The sequence below is a fragment of the Homo sapiens genome, chromosome 7 (genome assembly GCF_000001405.40).
Source record: "Homo sapiens chromosome 7, GRCh38.p14 Primary Assembly".
NCBI lineage: Eukaryota > Metazoa > Chordata > Mammalia > Primates > Hominidae > Homo > Homo sapiens.
In genome coordinates, this window is record NC_000007.14 from 73,759,030 (window position 1) to 73,777,928 (window position 18,899).

Sequence of the window (18,899 nt, forward strand, 5' to 3'; positions counted from 1 at the left end):
CCTAGGGACTTTCTCACAACCTAGCCATCCCCCACGCGTGGCCACCTCTCTCATGTGGCACCACCCCAGGGCCTGGCAGCGCGCTCCAGGGCTGTGGAGTTTGAAAATCCCAGGGACAGCCAGGCACGGTGGCTCACGCCTGTAATCCCAGCACTTTGGAAGGCCGAGGTGGGCAGATCACCTGAGGTCAGGAGTTCAAGACCATCCTGGCAAACATGATGAAACCCTGTCCCTACTAAAAATACAAAAATTAGCTGGGTGCAGTGGCAGGCACCTGTAATCCCAGCTACTTGGGGGGCTGAGGCAGGAGAATCGCTTGAACCCGGGAGGCGGAGGTTGCAGTGAGTGGAGATTGCGCCATTGCACTCCAGTCTGGGTGACAGAACGAGATTCTATCTCAAAAAAAGAAAAAAAAGGCCGGGCGCAGTGGCTCACGCCTGTAATCCCAGCACTTTGGGAGGCCAAGGTGGGCGGATCACGAGGTCAGGAGATCGAGACCATCCTGGCTAACATGGTGACACCCCGTCTCTACTAAAAAAATACAAACAATTAGCCAGGCGTGGTGGTGGGCGCCTGTAGAACCAGCTACTCGGGAGGCTGAGGCAGGAGAATGGTGTGAACCTGGGAGGCAGAGCTTGCAGTGAGCTGAGATCGCGTCACTGCACTCCAGCCTGGGCGACAGAGCAAGACTCCGTCTAAAAAATAAATAAAAACAAAAACAAAAACAAAACAGAAAATCCCAGGGACTTTCTCACCATCCACCCAACACTCTCATGTTCCCAGGCCCCTGCCTGACGGAATACACCAAAATTTTTTTTTTTTTCTGAGATGGAGTCTCACTCCCTCGTCCAGGGTGGAGTGCAGTGGTGTGATCTCGGCTCACTGCAACCTCCGCCTTCTGGGTTCAAGAAATTCTCCTGCCTCAGTCTCCCAAGTAGCTGAGATTATAGTTGTAAGCCACTGCACCTGGCTGTGAGCCACCACGCCCAGCCCAAAATCTTAACAATACAAACTCACATTAATTGAACTCCTACTGTATACATAGCACTATGCCATGTGCTTTTCGTGCAGACAGGCATGCCTTCATTCCACAGATATTTCTGACCAGCCTCCTTGTGCCAGCCCTCTCTGGGTGCTACAGACAGAGAGAAACAGCTCAAGACACTGTCCGTGACCTTGGGAGATGACTTTCTGGTAGAGAAGTCTAACAAGAAACAAAACAACAATTGGCCAGGCTTGGTCACTCACACCTGTAATCCCAGCATTTTGGGAGGCTGAGGCAGGCAGATCACTTGAGGCCAGGAGTTCGAGACCAGCCTGGCCAACATAGCGAAATCCCATCTCTACTAAAAATACAAATTATTATCTGGGCACGGTGGCTGACACCTGTAATCCCAGCTGCTTGGGAGGCTAAGGCAGGAGAATCGCTTGAACCTGGGAGGTGGAGGTTGCAGAGTGAGACTCTGTCCCAAAAAAAGAAAAGAAAAGAAAGGGCCAAGCGCAGTGGCTCACGCCTATAATCCCAGCACTTTGGGAGGCTGAGGTGGGCGGATCACAAGGTCAGGAGTTTGAGACCAGCCTGGCCAATATGGTGAAACCCCGTCTCTACTAAAAATACAAAAATTAGCCAGGCGTGGTGGCACGTACCTGTAGTCCCAGCTACTCAGGAGGCTGAGGCAGAAGAATCGCTTGAACCCTGGCGCTGGAGGTTGCAGTGAGCTGAGATCGAGCCACTGTACTCCAGCCTGGGCGACAGAGCGAGACTCTGTCTAAAAAACAAAAAAGAAACAAAACAATATACAGGGACATAGTAGGTGCTGTGACAAGGTGACAATAGGCTACATGGGAACCCAAAGGATGGCCCAGTTAAGCCTCAACACAGCCCAGTGTTATTATCATACCCATTTTGTAGATGAGGAAACTGAGGTTCAAAGGAGTAAACTCCACTGTTTACCTGGTCAGTTTGGTTTTGGCCAATTTTCCTCTGCAGGGAGTAAGGATAAAGATGGGGATGGAAAAGACAAGTTAGAGGGGCTCTCATGGATCAGCCAGTTTCAGCCTCTTTGTTGAAATGATGGGGAAACTGCTGGGTGTGGTGGCTCATGCCTGTAATCCCAGCACTTTGGGAGGCAGAGGCGGGAGGATCACTTGAGGCCAGGAGTTTAAGACCAGCCTGGGCAACATAGCGAGACCTCATCTCTATTGAAAAAAAAAAAAATTAGCCGGGTGTGGTGGCACCCGCCTGTGGTCCCAGCCAGTTGGAAGGCTAAGGTGAGAGGATCGCCAGAGCCCAGGAGGTAGAGGCTGTAGTGAGCCATAATCATGTCATTGTGCTCCAGCCTGGGCAATGGAGTGAGACCCTGTCTCAAAAACAACAGCGACAACAACAAAAAAGAAATGATGGGAGGTTGGGTGCGGTGGCTCACACCTGTAATCCCAGCACTTTGGGAGGCTGAGGTGGGAGGATCACTTGAGGTCAGGAGTTTGAGACCAGCCTGGCCAACATGGTGAAACTCCATCTCTACTAAAAATACAAAAAATTAGCCAGGTGTGGTGGTACATGCCTGTAATTCCAGCTACTTGGGAGGCTGAGGCACGAGAATTGCTTGGACCTGGGAGACGGAGGTTGCAGTGAGCCGAGATCGCGCCATAGCACTCCAGCCTGAGCAACAGAGTGAGATTCTGTCTCAAAAAAAAAAAAAAAAAAAAGATGGGGAAACAGACCTGGAAGGGGAAGGGATTTTCTTGGAGCCACACAGGAAAGCAGTGGCCAGGCTGCACCTAGAGTGATCAGGTTTTCTGACTCCCGCCTGGGGTGTGTTTCCTGATGCCAAATGCCTTTCTCTTCTCTGGCTGTTGGAAGATTTCCTGGAACCCTTTACCTGGGACCCTGCTCAGCTGTGGTCTCTGTGTTACCAGCTCCGCCACCTCCGCTTAGGCCTTAGACTCCAGAAAGGATAAAAAAAAGAAGTTAGGATGGACCTGAAGCCAGACACAGATGTGTGTGCACATGGGGGAAGCTGTAGGATGGAGTAGGATACCTCCCTTCCCCCATCCCTCCCCCAGGAGGCCCCAGGGGTGCCCAGGTGTTGGGAGAGACAAGGGGAGACTCTGAAGCCTGGGAGCCCTGCCATTGGGGATTGGATCTGTCTCCCTTCTCTGCCACATCCCCCTGGCTTGGGGTTGCTGGGGTGGGCTAAGGAGGCAGGCGAGACCTGGGCCTCACAGTGTAGCCAGGAGGGATGGCGTCCAGGCTGCTCTCTTGAAGCTGCTGGTAAATGAATAACCCTGCCCCTGCCTCCATGGCTCCCCGGCTCTCCTGGCCAGGGACTGCTGGGGGTGGAGGCAGATGCAACCCCTTGGTCCTCTGCCCATGCCTGCAAATCCCATCCCAGACAGACCCAGAGAAACCTCCTCTCGGTTCCCTCCATCTCCTTTCCCTAAGCCCCTTCATTGTCTAAGGCGACCTCCTTCTCCCATCCTTTCCTCTCACTAAGCCCGGCCCCTTCACTGAGCCCCCTCCAATCTCTAAGCCCCCTTCCCTCTTGGAGCCCTTCCCCTTGCTGAGCCCCACCCCTTTTCCAGTCCCATCCTTTCATCCTCATCCCCTCCCTCCCTCTCTTTCTTTCCCTCTCTTTCCCTCCCTTCTACCCTCCCTCCCTCTATCTCTTCCTCTTCCTCCCTCCCTCTTTCCCTCCCTTTCTTTCTTTCCTTTCCTTCCTTCCTTTTTTTTCTTTTTTCTTTGTCTTTCCTCCCTTTCTTTCTTTCCCCTTCTTTCGTTCTTTCTCTTTCTCTTTCTTCCTTTCCTCTTTCTCTCTCTTTTCCTCCTTCCCTTTCTCCTTTCCTTTCTCCCTTCCTCTCTTTCTCTTCTTTCTTTCTCTTTCTCTCCCTCCCCCATCTTTCTTTTTCTCTCTTTCTTTTCCTTTCCTTCCTCTCTCTCTCACTTTCACTCTCTTCTCTCTTGCCCCCCCCTTCTCTCTCCTCTCTCTCTCCCATCCTTCTCTCTTTCTCCTTTTTCTTTTTGAGATGGAATTTTGCTCTTGTTGCCAGGCTGGAGTGCAATGGCTTGGTCTCGGCTCACTGCAACCTCTGCCTCCCAGATTCAAGCAATTCTCCTGCCTCAGCCTCCCGAGTAGCTGGGATTACAGATGCCCGCCACCACACCTGGCTGATTTTTGTATTTTTAGTAGGACGAGGTTTCACCATGTTGGCCAGGCTGGTCTCGAACTCCTGACCTCAGGTGATCCGCCCGCCTCGGCCTCCCAAAGTGCTGGGATTACATGTGTGAGCCACCGTACCCGGCTGTCCCCTCCCTTCCCCTCCCCTCTCCTTTCCTTTTTTTGTCTTGCTGTGCCGCCCGCCTCGGCCTCCCAAAGTGCTGGGATTATAGGTGTGAGCCACCATACGCTTGACCTTTTTTTTTTTTTTTTTTTTGAGCCAGAGTTTCTCTCTTGTCGCCCAGGCTGGAGTGCAGTGGTTCGATCTTGGCTCATTCAACCTCTCCCTCCTGGGTTCAAACGATTCTCTTGCCTCAGCCTCTGGAGTAGCTGAGATTATAGGTGCCAGCCACCACACCTGGCTAAATTTTTTTTTTTTTTTGAGACGGAGTCTCGTTCTGTCGCCCAGGCTGGAGTGCAGTGGTGCGATCTCGGCTCATTACAAGCTCTGCCTCCCGGGTTCACGCCATTCTCCTGCCTCAACCTCCCGAGTAGCTGGGACTACAGGCACCCGCCACCACACCCAGCTAATTTTTTGTATTTTTAGTAGAGACGGGGTTTCACCGCGTTAGCTAGGATGGTCTCGATCTCCTGACCTCGTGATCTGCCTGCCTCCCCCTCCCAAAGTGCTGGGATTACAAGCGTGAGCCACCGTGCCCAGCCAATTTTTTGTATTTTTAGTAGAGACAGCGTTTCACCATGTTGGCCAGGCTGGTCTCGAACTCCTGACCTCAGGTGATCCACCTGCATTGGCATCTCAAAGCGTTGGGATTACATGCATGAGCCACTGCACCCAGCCTTCCTTGCTATTAATAGTAACCCACTTTCTCTTCCTTGGGTCATTAGGGGTGACTATACGTTGGTGTTTCTTAACTGGAAGGGAATTTTTCTGGAGTTAACTGGAACGTTCTACCATGAAATCTAGGCTGTGCATGGTGGCTTATGCCTGTTATCCCAGTACTTTCAGAGGCCGAAGCTGGAGGATCCCTTGAGCCCAGGGATTTGAAAGGGGCCTGGGCGACATGGTGAGACCCCGTTTCTACAAAAAATACAAAAAATTAGCCAGATGTGGTGGCTCATGCCTGTAATCCCAGCACTTTGGGAGGCCGAGGCGGGTGGATGACCTGAGGTCAGGAGTTCGAGACCAGCCTGGCCAACATGGTGAAACCCCGTCTCTCCTAAAAATACAAAAATATTAGCCAGGCATGGTGGTGGGCACCTGTAATCCTAGCTACTTGGGAGGCTGAGGCAGGAGAATTGCTTGAACCCGGGAGGTGGAGGTTGCAGTGAGCCAAGATCCCGACATTGTACTCCAGCCTGGGTGACAAGAGCAAGATCGTCTCATTAAAAAAAAAAAAAAAAAAAATTAGCTGGACATGGTGGTGTGTGCCTGTAGTCCCAGCTAGCTGCCACAGGGATCTTTTGCCCTTTTTGCTTTAGCTTTGCTGCAGCCAAAAACATTTTTTTGTATTTTTTTAAATTATTTGTTTATTTATTTATTTATTTATTTTTTTGAGGCAGGGTTTTGCTCTGTCACCCAGGCTGGATGGAGTGCAGTGGCGTGATCATGTCTCACTGCAGCCTTGACCTCTCTAGGCTGAGGTGATCCTCCAACGTCAGCCTCCAGAGTAGCTGAAACTGTAGGCATATGCCACCACACTCGGCTGATTTTTTTTTTCTTTTTTTTTTTGAGATGGAGTCTCACTGTCTCCCAAGCTGGAGTGCAGTGGTGCGATCTCGGCTCACTGCAACCTCCGCATCCCGGGTTCTAGCGATTCTCCTGCGTCAGCCTCCCGATTAGTTGGGATTGCAGGTGCCTGCCACCACGCCCAGCTAATTTTTGTATGCTTTGTAGAGATGGGGTTTTGCTATGTTGCCCAGGCTGTGTTTGTGTTTGTGTTTTTAGAGACAGCCTGTCACTCAGGCTGGAGTGCAGTGGTGAAATCATAGCTTGCTGTAGCCTCGAACTCCTTGGCTCAAGTGATCCTCCCATCTCAGCCTCCCGTGTAACTGGGACTACAGGCATGCACCACCATGCCTGGCTAACTTTTAAATTTTTTTGTAGAGATGGGGTCCTTGCTATATTGTCCAGGCTGGTCTCAATCTCCTGGCCTCAAATGATCCTCCCACCTTGGCCTCCCAAGGTGCTAGGATTACAGACATGAGCCATCATGCCCAGTATCCAAAACATTTGAGATACAATAATTTAGAAAAAAAAAAGGCCAGCTGGGTATGGTGGCTCACGCCTGTAATCCCAGCACTTTGGGAGGCTGAGGCAGGCGGATCACCTGAGGTCGGGAGTTTGAGACCAACCTGACCAACATGGAGAAACCCTGTCTCTACTAAAAATACAAAATTAGTCAGGCATGGTGGCATATGCCCGTAATTCCAGCTACTTGGGAGGCTGAGGCAGGAGAATCGCTTGAACCTGGGAGGCGGAGGTTGCGGTGAGCCGAGATTTCGCCATTGCACTCCAGCCTGCACTCTGTCTCAAAAAAAAAAAAAAAAAAAAAAAATTGGGCCAGGCGCAGTGGCTCACGCCTGTACTATAATCCCAGCACTTTGGGAGCCCAGGCAGGCAGATCACCTGAGATCAGGAGTTTGATGCCAGCCTGGCCAATGTGGTGAAATCCCGTCTCTACTACTAATACAAAAAATGAGCCAGGTGTGGTGGCACACACCTATAACCCCAGCTACTTGGGAGGCTGAGGCAGGAGAATTGCTTGAACCCAGGAGGTGGAGGTTGCAGTGAGCCCAGATCACGCCACTGCACTCCAGCCTGGGTGATGGAGTGAGACTCTGTCTAAAAAAAAAAAAAATTTCAAGTCTCCCCAGTGCCCAAATACATGTGCAACCCTCGTTTCCCTTCAAGTTGCTGGCTCGACCTACAAGTCCCTTTCTTTTCTTTTTTTTTGAGACAGAGTCTCGCTCTGCTGCCCAGGCTGGAGTGCAGCGGTGAGATGTCAGCTCACTGCAACCAGTTCATCATGTTGGCAGGGCTGGTCTTGAACTCCTGACATCAGGTGATCCTCCCGTCTTGGCCTCCCAAAGTGCAGGGATTACAAGCGTGAGCCACTGCCCCCAGCCACAATACCCCCCTACTTTTTTTTTTTTTTTTTTTTTTTTTTAAGACAGAGTCTGTCTCTGTCACCTAGGCTAGAGTGCAGTGGTGCGATCTCGGCTTGCTGCAACCTCTGCCTCCTGGGTTCAAGCAATTCTCCTGTCTCAGCCTCCCAAGTAGCTGGGATTACAGGCGTGTGCCACCACACCCGGCTAATTTTTAATATTTTTGGTAGAGATGGGGTTTCACCATGTTGACCAGGCTGGTCTCGAACTCCTGACCTCAAGTGATCCTCCCAAAGTACTGGGACTACAGTGCCCACCACCATGCCTGGCTAATTTTTGTATTTTTAGTAGAGTTGGGGTTTCACCATGTTGGCCAGGCTTGTCTTGAACTCCTGGGCTCAAGCTATCCCCCTCACCCCAACCCCTGCCACGCCTCGGCCTCCCAAAGTGCTGGGGTTACAAGCGTGAGCCACTGCTCCCAGCCACAATTCCCTTTCTATGCAAATCTCTTGCACGCATTGTCTACGGCTCCTGGTTTCAACTCTCGCCTCCCACTCCCTTTTCCATCTAGTGTTTCCGTTTCCACACCTCTTGCTAAGGCCACCAATGACCACCTGGCTACTGTGAATTCCGTGGCTATTCCTCAGGTCTCATCTTGCCTGACCACTCCTGCAACCTCAGACACTGTTGCCCACACCCACCTCCTTGAAACTCTTTTTGTTCTGTGAGTTTCTAGACTGACTTCTTCCCCGACCCTGGTTTCGGTTGCCATCCCTATGCAACGACTTTCAGGTTTACGAGATCTCTAGACGTCATCCTACTTCCTGGACGTCTCTGCCAGGACGTTCTCCAGACTCGCCAAACTCTACATTTATTTTATTTTTATTTATTTATTTTTTGAGACAAGATCTCACTCTGTCGCCCAGGCTGGATTGCAGTGGTGCATTCTCTACTCGCTGCAGCCTCAATCTCCTGGGCTCAAGTAAACCTCCCACCTCAGCCTCCCATGTAGCTGGGATTACAGGCATATACCACCACACCTAGCTAATTTTTAATTTTTTTGTAGAGATGGGGTCTCACTATGCTACCCAGGCTGGTCTCGGACTCCTAGGCTGAAGATACTCTCCAGCCTTGGCCTCCCAAAGTGCTGGGATTACAGGCGTGAGCCACCATGCCCTGGCCTCACCAAACTCTATACGTTCAAAATGGAACCCATCATCTTTCCGTCTCCTATTTTGGTAAATGATACCACTATCCAATCAGTGACCTAAGTTGAAACTCCCAGATTCCAGCCTTCTTTTCTAGATTCTCGCCTCTCTCACCCTGCACATCCAAATGGCTCCCGGGTCCTGCCCACTTTAACAGCCCCTGTCAGGTTCTGCCCCCACTCCCTGCCCCTGCCTAATTTCTGGCCACCATCATTTCACTCCAAGATGGCGGCATATCCTGTTAGGTGGTTCCCCTCCTTTATCTTTCTCCTTGAATCCCAGTTCCACAGGGGCTGCTGGAGAGGTTAAAAGCATCTGACCAGGTACTTCCCCTTTCATGACTCCCTACACCCAGAGTAAGGTTCAAAGTTTGTAATTCCACATACGGACTCTCCATGACTTGGCCTTTGCTTGCTGGAGTCCTGGGCTTTACTGACACTTCCTGTCTCCCTTTATGTTCCATCCAGTCATTTGAATCTCTCGCCCCCACCAAGTCACCCTGTGCCTGGGTTCAGGCCCCTTTTCCCGCCTGAATCTCCTGTGTTTTCTCCAAGGCACCAGTGCCTCTCCACACTGTTCACCTTAACCACTCCTCTGGGGTGTGTGTGTGTGTGTGTGTGTGTGTGTGTGTGTGTGTGTTTTGTCGTTGTTGTTTTTGAGACAGGGTCTCACTCTGTTGCCCCAGCTGGAGTGCAGTGGCACAATCATAGCTCACGGTAGCCTTTACCTCCTGGGCTCAAGCCATCCTCCTGCTTCAGCCTCCTGAGTAGCTGGGACCACAGGTGTATGCCATCATACCCAGTTAATTTTTTTTTTTTTTGGTAGAGATAGGGTCTTGCTATGTAGCCCAGGTTGGTCTCGAACTCCTGGGCTCAAGCGAGCCTCCCACCTCGTCCTCTAGGAGTGAGCCAGTGAGACCCGGCCTCAAGCCCCTCTGAGATACCCCTTCTAAGTCCTCCCTCTTTCCCTCCCTTGAGGGTCCCAGGAAGGAGATGGGGACCCTTTCTCATCTCTCCCCCAGGTGAGAAGATTTGGCCCGGTTTTACTTTTGGTGGCGTGTTTTATCCAAACAATAGGTCTTTTTGTTTTCGTTTTTCCAATAGGAAATGGCAGTACGGAATGCGCTCTTTCACAAGGCGCACGGGAGATTCCGAATGTGTCGGGTATTGTGCGGGGTCCGGGCTCCCAGCACAGACCCAGGGGCACATCTCTGCCACCTTCCCCTCCCATCCCCAGCCATGGCGTGCGGAAAGTGCTCATGCCTGCTTCCTAGATTGGGCGCTGGCTTTGGCCTCACAGGCTGTCTTCCGAATCCCCAGGGAGTGGGCAAGTGACCACCCCGCCATCACCAAGCTCAGCTTACAACCCCATCTTCCCTCTAAGCTCCATCCGGGAGAGCGAGATCCAGCCAAGGCCGCCCCGAGGGGGAGCTCTGCAGGGAGGTGGAGGCGCTGGGAACAAGGAGGCTCCAGCGAGTGCAAAACGAAAGGCTTTTATTGAAAAATATCAAGTGCCCCTTCCAGGGCTGCCGGTCCCTGCCCAGCGCGAGCATGGGGGCAGCGGCCCGATGGGGCTCGACGGGGTGGTCAAGTATTGGCGGTCACCCAGGCCCCGTGCTCCAGAAGGGTGAGGTTTCACAGTCCATGCAGGTTGGTCCCTGGGCCCCGAAGTCGACTGCCCGGCCCGCAAAGCCGTGGCTGCTGGGGAAGCTGCCCCAGTCCAGCGCGGGGGCTTCCTGGCTTCTGGGGGTGGGCTGGCCTCCGAGGCAAGGCTGCACGCTGGATGGCCTGGTGCGCGCTCCAGCTCGCGGTGGTGGTGGTGGTGTTGGTGGTGGTGGTGGTGGTGGGGTCTCCCTGCGTCTGTCCCTTAGACGTAGTCCTTGCGGTCGTAGCCTGTGCCCAGGCTGGCTCCCGGGCCGGTGGAGCGCGGCGCGGAGTAGACGACCTTGGTGGCCGTGTACTTCTTCTCGCGTGGGGGACACGAGCAGCAGAGCAGCGCGCCCCCCAGCAGCTGCAGCGCCGCGGCCGCCCAGCCCACGTACAGGCCCGCGCCCATCTCGCGCTTCTGCGCCTCGGGCACCACGGGGTTGTAGAAGTCCCGGATAATGGTGTTGGCCGACCAGGACACCGGCACGAGGGTGAGCAGGGCGGCGAGAAGGAACAGCACGCCTGCCACGATGGTGATCTTGGCCTTGGCCGTGTCGTCCTGCACGCAGTTGGTGCACTGGGCGCCCACCAGCGCCACTAGCAGCCCGAAGGCGGCCAGCAGGATGGCCACCACGATGAGGGCGCGGGCCGCCTGAAGGTCCTGTGGCAGTGCCAGCAGCGAGTCGTACACCTTGCACTGCATCTGGCCGGTGCTCTGCACCACGCAGTTCATCCACAGGCCCTCCCAGATGTTCTGCGACGTGATGATGTTGCTGCCGATGAAGGCCGACACGCGCCACATGGGCAACGCGCAGCACACGATGGTGCCCAGCCAGCCCAGCACGGCCAGCGCGGTGCCCGTGATCTCCAGGCCCATGGACATGGCTGCCGCGGCAAGGCCCGCTCCACCGGGTGGCTCCGGGTGCGGGGAGACGAGGGGCCGGGGCCGCTGGGCCTGGCGGGAGCTGCGGCGCCCCGACGGACGGACGGACGGACGGACTGACTCACCGACGGCGCGCGCTAACGGCTCGGCTCCATACGCTCTCGCCGCGGCTGCGCCTGCACCTGCCTGTGGCTTTGTGGGCGGGCGGCGGCGACTGGGCTGGCCCTGGGCTGGGGCCGGTGCGTCTTAGCTAAGTGCCCAGCGCTCCGGTGGGGGCGGTAGGGGCGGAGCCGCGCTCTCCAGGGCCTAAGGACAGTGACGTGGCCCCTGCCTCCCACCTTCACCGAGCGTCCTGGGAGGAAGGACTTGGCCCTGCGCGGCCCACAACGCCGGGGTAGGGGGGTTGCCAAGGAAGGGCGGGACCTGACCCAGCCCCCGCCCCTCGGTCCTTGTCCCTCTCTGCTCGGGAATGAATTCTCCGGGGCAAAACCGAGGACGGGATGCGTCAGGGGCTTGGGGTGCAAATCCCAAAGAATTTGACACGGCTTCTCTCTCCTCACCACTTTGGGCGCTTTTGGCACGTGCCGCGTGGGGATGGGGGCGCTGCCAATTACCCCGGAACGGCGGGGCGGGGAGGACCAGGGTGGGCGTGGCCGCGGCTGTTTGCAGGAGCCGCGCACCTGCTGCTCTGCCCCTCCCGTACACACGTCGCACAGGCTCAGCCTGAGTCCGGGCGGTGGGGTTGTCCAGCCCAGGAATTGCTGGGCCCAGAAGCCAGGGACTGCCTGCGCAAAGGTACCCAAAAGATGCCCTTAAGCCTAACTAAGCTCAAATTCCTCTCCAGCTCTCCCTCCAGTTCCCATCGCTGGCCGTGAGCCTGCATGCCTTTAGCTAAGCTGCTCTCCCCTCCCAGAAGTCCCCCTCCTCCCATTGAGTCCCCTCCCCTCTCCGAGCCCTGTCCTCCCTCCCTTTGAGCCTGAGTCAGGGCTGAGGCCCACCTTAATGAAATGGTGGTGAAAGAGGTTCGATCTCCGCAAAAGTGGGAAATCGGGCAGGACCGAGCACCGTGGTGGCTGACTCCTGTAATCCTCGCACTTTGGGAGGCTGAGAAGGGAGGATTGCTTGAGACCAGGAGTTCGACACCAGCCTGGGCAAAATAGTGAGACCCCGTCTCTACAAAAAATTAAAAAACTAGCCAGGTGTGGTGGCGTGTGCCTATAGTCCCAACTACTCCGGAGGCTCAGGCAGGAAATTACTTGAGCCCAGGAGTTCGAGGCTGCAGTGAGCTATGATCGCACCACTGCACTCCAGCCTGGGCATCAGAGCAGACCCTGTTTAAAAAAAAAAAAAAAAAAAAAAAAAAAGGTTGGGAAGTCAGAAATGCTACACTCAAAGCCCTGGCTGTCACACCTGGACGATCGTTCCCCCTTCTTCACCAAGCTCAGAGCCCTTCAGATTTGGCCTTGGAGGTTCAGCCTGGGCTGTTCCTAACCCCATCCCCTCTCTTCCCCTCAGAGCAGCCCTTGCATACCACATGCCCCTGCCTCAGAGTCCCTGCACTTACTGTCCCCTGTACATGGAACATGCCTGCAGACATCCACATAGCTTACTCCTAACTGCCTTCAGCTTTTTGCTCTCAGTGAGTCTTTCCCTGACCACCCTATTTAAAACTGCAGCTTCTGGCTGGGTACGGTGGCTCACGCCTGTAATCCCAGCACTTTGGGAGGCTGAGGCGGGTGGATCACTTGAGGTAAGGAGTTCCAGACCAGCCTGGCCAACGTGGCGAAATCCCGTCTCTACTAAAAATGCAAAAATTAGCCAGGCGTGGTGGTACACGCCTGTAATACCAGCTACTCGGGAGGCTGAGGCAAGAGAATTGCTTGAACCCAGGAGGTGGAGGTTGCAGTGAGCTGAGATCACACCCCTGCACTCCAACCTGGGTGACAAAGCGAGACTCTTTGTCTCAAAATAAAATAAATAAAATAAAATAAAATAAAATTGCAGTTTCTTACCCCACAATGCCTGCCCCCCTTTAATACTTTATATTCTGCTTAGCATGTAACACCATCGGACAATATTCTATATTTTTCTTATTTATGTTTCATTGTACTTAAAAAAATTTTAAATTGGCAATGATCGTACCTACGCGTGGCACACCCAGTGATGTTTTAATACATAGAATGTATAGTAATCATATCAGGGTAATTGGCATATTCATCATCTCAAACTTTTATTTCTTTGTGCTGGGAACGTTCAATAACTTATTTATTTATTTATTTTAGAGACAGTGTCTTGCTCTGTCACCCAGGCTGGAGTGCAGTGGTACTATCATAGCTCACTGCAGCCTTGAATTCTTGGGCTTAAGCAATCCTCTAGCTATAGCCTCCCAAGTAGCTGGGACTACAGGCATATACCACCAAGCCCACCTAATTGTTTCATTTTTTTTTGTAGAGATGGGGTCTCACTGTGTTGCCCAGGCTAGTCTTGAACTCCTGGTCTCAAGCAATCCCCCAACCTTGGCATCCCGAAGTGCTAGGATTACAGGTGTGAGCAGCAGTGCCCAGCCTATTTTTTTTTTTAAACGAAATCTCGCTCTTTTGACCAGGCTGGAGTGCAGTGGTGCAATTTCGGCTCACTGCAACCTCCACCTCCTGGGTTCAAGCAATTCTTCTGCCTCAGCCTCCCAAGTAGCTGGGACTACGGGCACGTGCCACCACGCCCAGCTAATTTTTGTATTTTTAGTAGAGATGGGGTTTCACCATATTGGCCAGGTGGTCTCGAACTCCTGACCTCATGATCTGCCCGCCTTGGCCTCCCAAAGTGCTGGGATTACAGGCATGAGCCATGGCACCCAGCCAATTTTTAAATTGTTTCTTTCTTTCTGTTCCAGTATGTCAGCTCCATTGGGACATCTGTAATGTCCCAGAACAGGCAAGAATTTTGCTGGTTTTATTCACTGCTGCATTCCTATTGCCTAGAATGGTGTTGGGTACTCAACAGAGAGTCGATTTAGTGACTTGAATGAAGGGAAGACTTTCTCATGTTCCTTCAACCTTGCCTACCCAGGCTTTCCTACTGGCATAAATGACTGATAAAGGGATACTGCTGTGCTGAGTCAAGGGGGCTTGGTCATCTTGTAGGAGTCAAGGGCTCTTCCAGAGAGAAGAGAGACCCCATTGAGCTGGGCCTTGGGGTTTTTTGGGGTTGCCTCCATATCTCAAATCACAGGCATGCAGCCTGTGCCCTCTTCTGTAAATGCCTAAGCCTTGGAATGATAGAAGAGCAAGAAACATGGCTGGGTGCAGTGGCTCACACCTGTAATCCCAGCACTTTGGGAAGCTGAGGCGGGTGGATCACCTGAGGTCAGGAGTTCGAGACCAGCCTGGCCAGCATGGTGAAACCCCGTCTCTACTAAAAATACAAAAATTAGCTGGGCGTGGTGGCATGCACCTGCAGTGCCAGCTACTCGGGAGGCTGAGGCATGAGAATCGCTTGAACCCAGGAGGCGGTGGTTGCAGTGAGCTGAGATCGTACCACTGCACTCCAGCCTGGGCGACAGGGCGAGACTCCATTTCAAAAAAATAAAAAAAAAGAAAAGAAGAAGAAGAGTAAGAAACAGTGTCAGGGGCTCATGGAAACCAGGGTTCTACTTCTTTCAGGAGCAAAGGTCTTGGGCTGCACCTGTTGGGCAGGGCCTGGGCAGATCTGGGAGTGCCAGTCCAGAGGGCCCAGCTGGTGCTGGGTGGAGCTGTTCTAGAGGAAGTTCATATAACTCAAGTCCTCCAGTGGACTACTGGCTGCTACAGTTTCCTGGTGAGTGGGGGTGGCTCTGGGCCAGAAGAAAAGTAGACCCTCCAGGTGGTGTGGCTGGGCTTAGACTAGGGGTTGAGGCCCAGAGTGGTCCCCACTGCACTGCCAGTTGTGCCTGGATTGGGCACTGTGAGCCCTACGCCTGCTGGCCTTGAGGCTGGTGAAAGTCACGTCGCCTCTCTTAGCCTCAGTTTCCTCCTCTATAAAATTAGGGAAATGGTGTCTGCATGACTCACTTCCAGGGTTATGGTAAGAATAGAGGCGATGTTAAGTATGCTATAAAAGCAGAAAACAGCCAGGCAGGGCATGTATATGTCCAGAGAAATTGTACAGAGAAAAGGTAGATCTGAACTTGAGCCTGGCTTTGCTCTCCTGGGTCACGAGCGCTTGAGCCAGTCCTTTTACCACCTTGAGCCTCAGTTTCCCCATCTGTGAGACAAGAGTTGTCCTGAGTTGCTTGGGTTTGGGGCTTGTCCCTGAGCCTGGGGGAGGTGGACCTGCTGGGCAGGGCTGCACTGAGATGAGGCCAGCAGGACAGAGCTTCATGCCCAGAGGCCAAACTTCAGGGACTTTGCAAATAAGACTTTGCCTCTGGGCAAACACAGCTCCAATCAGCTTTTTGCTCAATACCTACCATGATTCCTACAACTCAATAATAAAAAGACAAATAAACCAATTAAAAAATGGCCAAAGAAACTGAGCAGACATTTAGAATAGAGAAAGAATGTATAAAAATGGCCAATAAATGTGACTAGGGGGCGGTATCTCACGGCTGTGATCTCGGCACTTTGTGAGGCCAAGGCAGGAGGATCGCTTGAGGCCAGGAGTTTAAGACCAGCCTGGACAACATAGCGAGACCTTGTCTCTACTTAAAAAAAAAAAAAATTAGCCAGGGATGGTGGTGTACACCTGTAGTTCCCAGCTACTTGGGAGGCTGAGGTGGGAGAATTGCTTGAGCCCAGGAGTTTGAGGCTGCAGTGAGCTATGACTGTGTTACTGCACTCCAATCTGGGCAAGGGAGCAAGATGTGTCTCAAAAAAAAAAAAATCCAATAAATACATGAAAAGATGCTCAACATCATTGGTCATTAGAGAAATGCAAATCAAAGCCACAAAGAGATACCACTTTGCACCCACTAGGGAGGCAATAATCAAATAACAAATGTTGGTGAGGATGTGGAGAAATTGACACCCTGATACATTGCTGGTGGCAATGTAAGTGGGGCATCTGCTGTGGAAAACAATCTGGTGGTCCTTCAGAAGATTACATTGCTGACTCATGTTACCATATGACTCAGCAATTTTCGTCTAGGAATACCCAAGAGACACAAAAGCATATGAGCAGGTCAGACAAAAAAAACTTGTACCTGAATGTTTGTAGCAACATTGTGCATAATAGCCAAAAAGTGGAAACATCCTAAATGTTCATCAACTGATGAATGGGTAAATAAAATGTGATCTAGCCATACAAAGTAATATTATGCAGCCATTAAAAAGGAATAAAGTACTGATACATGTTGCAACATGAAGGAACCTTGAAGACATTGCAGTAAGTGAAAGAGGCAGGACCATCTATTGTATGATTTCATTTATTTATTTATTTATTTATTTTTATTTATTTATTTTTTGAGACAGAGTCTCACTCTGTCGGCCAGGCTGGAGTGCAGTGGCATGATCTCGCCTCACTGCAGGCTTCTCCTCCTGGACTCAAGTGATTCTCCTGCCTCAGCCTCCCGAGTAGCTGGGATTACAGGCATGTGCCACCACGCCTGGCTAATTTCCGTATTTTTAGTAGAGATGGGGTTTCACCATATTGGCCAGGCTGGTCTCGAACTCCTGACCACAGGTAATCCACCTGCCTCAGCCTCCCAAACTGCTGGGATTACAGGCGTGAGCTACTGTGCCTGGCCCTGATTCCATTTATTAAAACATATTCAGGGCTGTGTGTGGTGGCTCATACCTGTAATCCCAGCACTTTGGGAGGCTGAGGTGGGCGAATCACAAGGTCAAGAAATTGAGGGCCGGGCGCGGTGGCTCACGCCTGTAATCCCAGCACTTTGGGAGGCCGAGGCGGGTGGATCATGAGGTCAGGAGATCGAGACCATCCTGGCTAACAAGGTGAAACCCCGTCTCTACTAAAAATACAAAAAATTAGCCGGGCGCGGTGGCGGGCGCCTGTAGTCCCAGCTACTCGGGAGGCTGAGGCAGGAGAATGGCGTGAACCCGGGAAGCGGAGCTTGCAGTGAGCCGAGATTGCGCCACTGCAGTCCGCAGTCCGACCTGGGCGACAGAGCGAGACTCCGTCTCAAAAAAAAAAAAAAAAAAAAAAAAAAAAAAAAAAAAAAAAAAAAAAAAAAAAAAAGAAATTGAAACCATCCTGGCCAACATGGTGAAACCCTGTCTCTACTAAAAATACAAAAATTAGCCAGGCTTGGTGGCATGTGCCTGTAGTCCCAGCTACTCGGGAGGCTGAGGCAGGAGAATCACTTGAACCCAGGAGGTGGAGGTTGCAGTGAGCTGAGATCGCACCACTGCACTCCAGCCTGGCAACGGAGACAGTCTCAGTCAAAAAAAAAAAATTCTGAATAGGGAAATCTACCGAGACAAAGATTATATGAGTGGTTGTCAGGGGCTGGGGTGAGGATGTTGGGAGAAAGTGGGTACAGGGTTTCTTTTTGGGGTGGTGAAAATGTTCTACAATTGATTGTGGTAATGATGGTTGTATAACTCTGTGAATATACTAAAAATCATTGACTTGTACAATTTTTTTTTTTTTGAGATGGAGTCTCGCTCTGTCCCCCAGGCTGGAGTGCAGTGGCATGATCTCTGCTCACTGCAACTTCTGCTTCCCGGGTTCAAGCAATTCTCCTGTCTCAGCCTCCCGAGTAGCTGGGACTACAGGAGCACGCCACCATGCCCAGCTAATTTTTGTATTTTTCACTATATTGGTCAGGCTGGTCTCAAACTCCTGACCTCAAGTGATCCACCCGCCTCGGCCTCCCAAAGTGCTGGAATTACAGGTGTGAGCCACTGCGCGCGCCCGGCCAACTTGTTTTCTGCTTTATAGCACACTTAACCATCGCCTCTATTGTCACCATAACCCTGGAAGTGTGTCATGCAGACAGCATTTCCCTCATTTTATAGAGGAGGAAACTGAGGCTAAGGGAGGCTACGTGACTTTCACCAGCCTCAAAGCCAGCAGGAGTAGAGCTTGCAGTGCCCAATCCAGGCACAACTGGCAGTGCAGTGGGGGCCACTCTGGGCCTCAGCCCCCAGTCTAAGCCCAGCCACACCACCTGGAAGGTCCACTTTTCAAATGGATTACCATTTGAATTGGTGAGTTGTATGGTATGGAAATGGTACTTCAATAAATCTGTTAAAATAAAAACCAGTGTGGTGTTCGGGCCTGCAGTGTATGTCTGAGTGTGTCACCTGAGTGTGGAGGTGCTTAGAGAGTGCAATGCAGGCATCTTTTCTTCTTCTTCATTTTTTTTTCCGAGACACAGTCTTGCTCTGTTGCCCAGGCTGGAATGCAGTGGCATGATCATAGCTCATCACTGCAGGTTCAACCTCCAGGGCTCAAGCAATCCTCCCACCTCAGCCTCTCAAGTAGCTAGGACTGCAGGTGAGTGCCACCATGCCCAGCTAATAATTTTTATGTTTTGTGGAGATGGAGATCTTGCCATGTTGCCCAGGCTGGTCTTGAACTCCTGGCCTCAAGAGATCCTCCTGTCTTAGCCTCCCAAAGCACTGGGATTATAGGTGTGAGCCACCATGCCCAGCCTGCAGGTGCTTTTTTTTTTTTTTTTTTTTTTTTTTTGAGACGGAGTTTCACTCTTGTTGCCCAGGCTGGAGTGCAATGGCGCGATCTCCGCCCACTGCAACCTCCGCCTCCCTGGTTCAAGAGATTTTCCTGCCTCAGCCTCCCAAGTAGCTGGGATTACAGGCAGTCGCCACCATGCCCAGCTAATTTTTTTGTATTTTTAGTAGAGATGGGGTTTCACCACGTTGGCCAGGCTGGTCTTGAACTCCTGACCTCAGATGATCCGCCTGCCTTGGCCTCCCAAAGT

The 18,899-nt window shown here is 52.2% G+C and overlaps 1 protein-coding gene across 1 annotated transcript, besides 2 other annotated features; it reads right to left on the reverse strand.

Moving 5' to 3' along the window:
- Positions 2,634-3,211: an enhancer, noted in NCBI's record as "H3K27ac-H3K4me1 hESC enhancer chr7:73175993-73176570 (GRCh37/hg19 assembly coordinates)". NCBI's record gives its function as "activates a minimal SCP1, AML or CMV promoter by ChIP-STARR-seq in primed H9 embryonic stem cells {active_cell/tissue: H9 hESC(primed)}" and the evidence as "EXISTENCE:reporter gene assay evidence [ECO:0000049][PMID:30033119]".
- Positions 3,212-3,789: an enhancer, noted in NCBI's record as "H3K27ac-H3K4me1 hESC enhancer chr7:73176571-73177148 (GRCh37/hg19 assembly coordinates)". NCBI's record gives its function as "activates a minimal SCP1, AML or CMV promoter by ChIP-STARR-seq in primed H9 embryonic stem cells {active_cell/tissue: H9 hESC(primed)}" and the evidence as "EXISTENCE:reporter gene assay evidence [ECO:0000049][PMID:30033119]".
- On the reverse strand, positions 9,968-11,241 carry CLDN3 (claudin 3). The gene has a single exon (NM_001306.4). The coding sequence runs from the start codon at positions 11,018-11,020 to the stop codon at positions 10,358-10,360; it is 663 nt and encodes a 220-aa protein (NP_001297.1). The 5' UTR covers positions 11,021-11,241; the 3' UTR covers positions 9,968-10,357.

Coding starts and splice junctions, on each gene's coding strand:
- CLDN3 (NM_001306.4), bottom strand. CDS start 11,020: ATGTCCATGGGCCTGGAGATCACGGGCACCGCGCTGGCCGTGCTGGGC.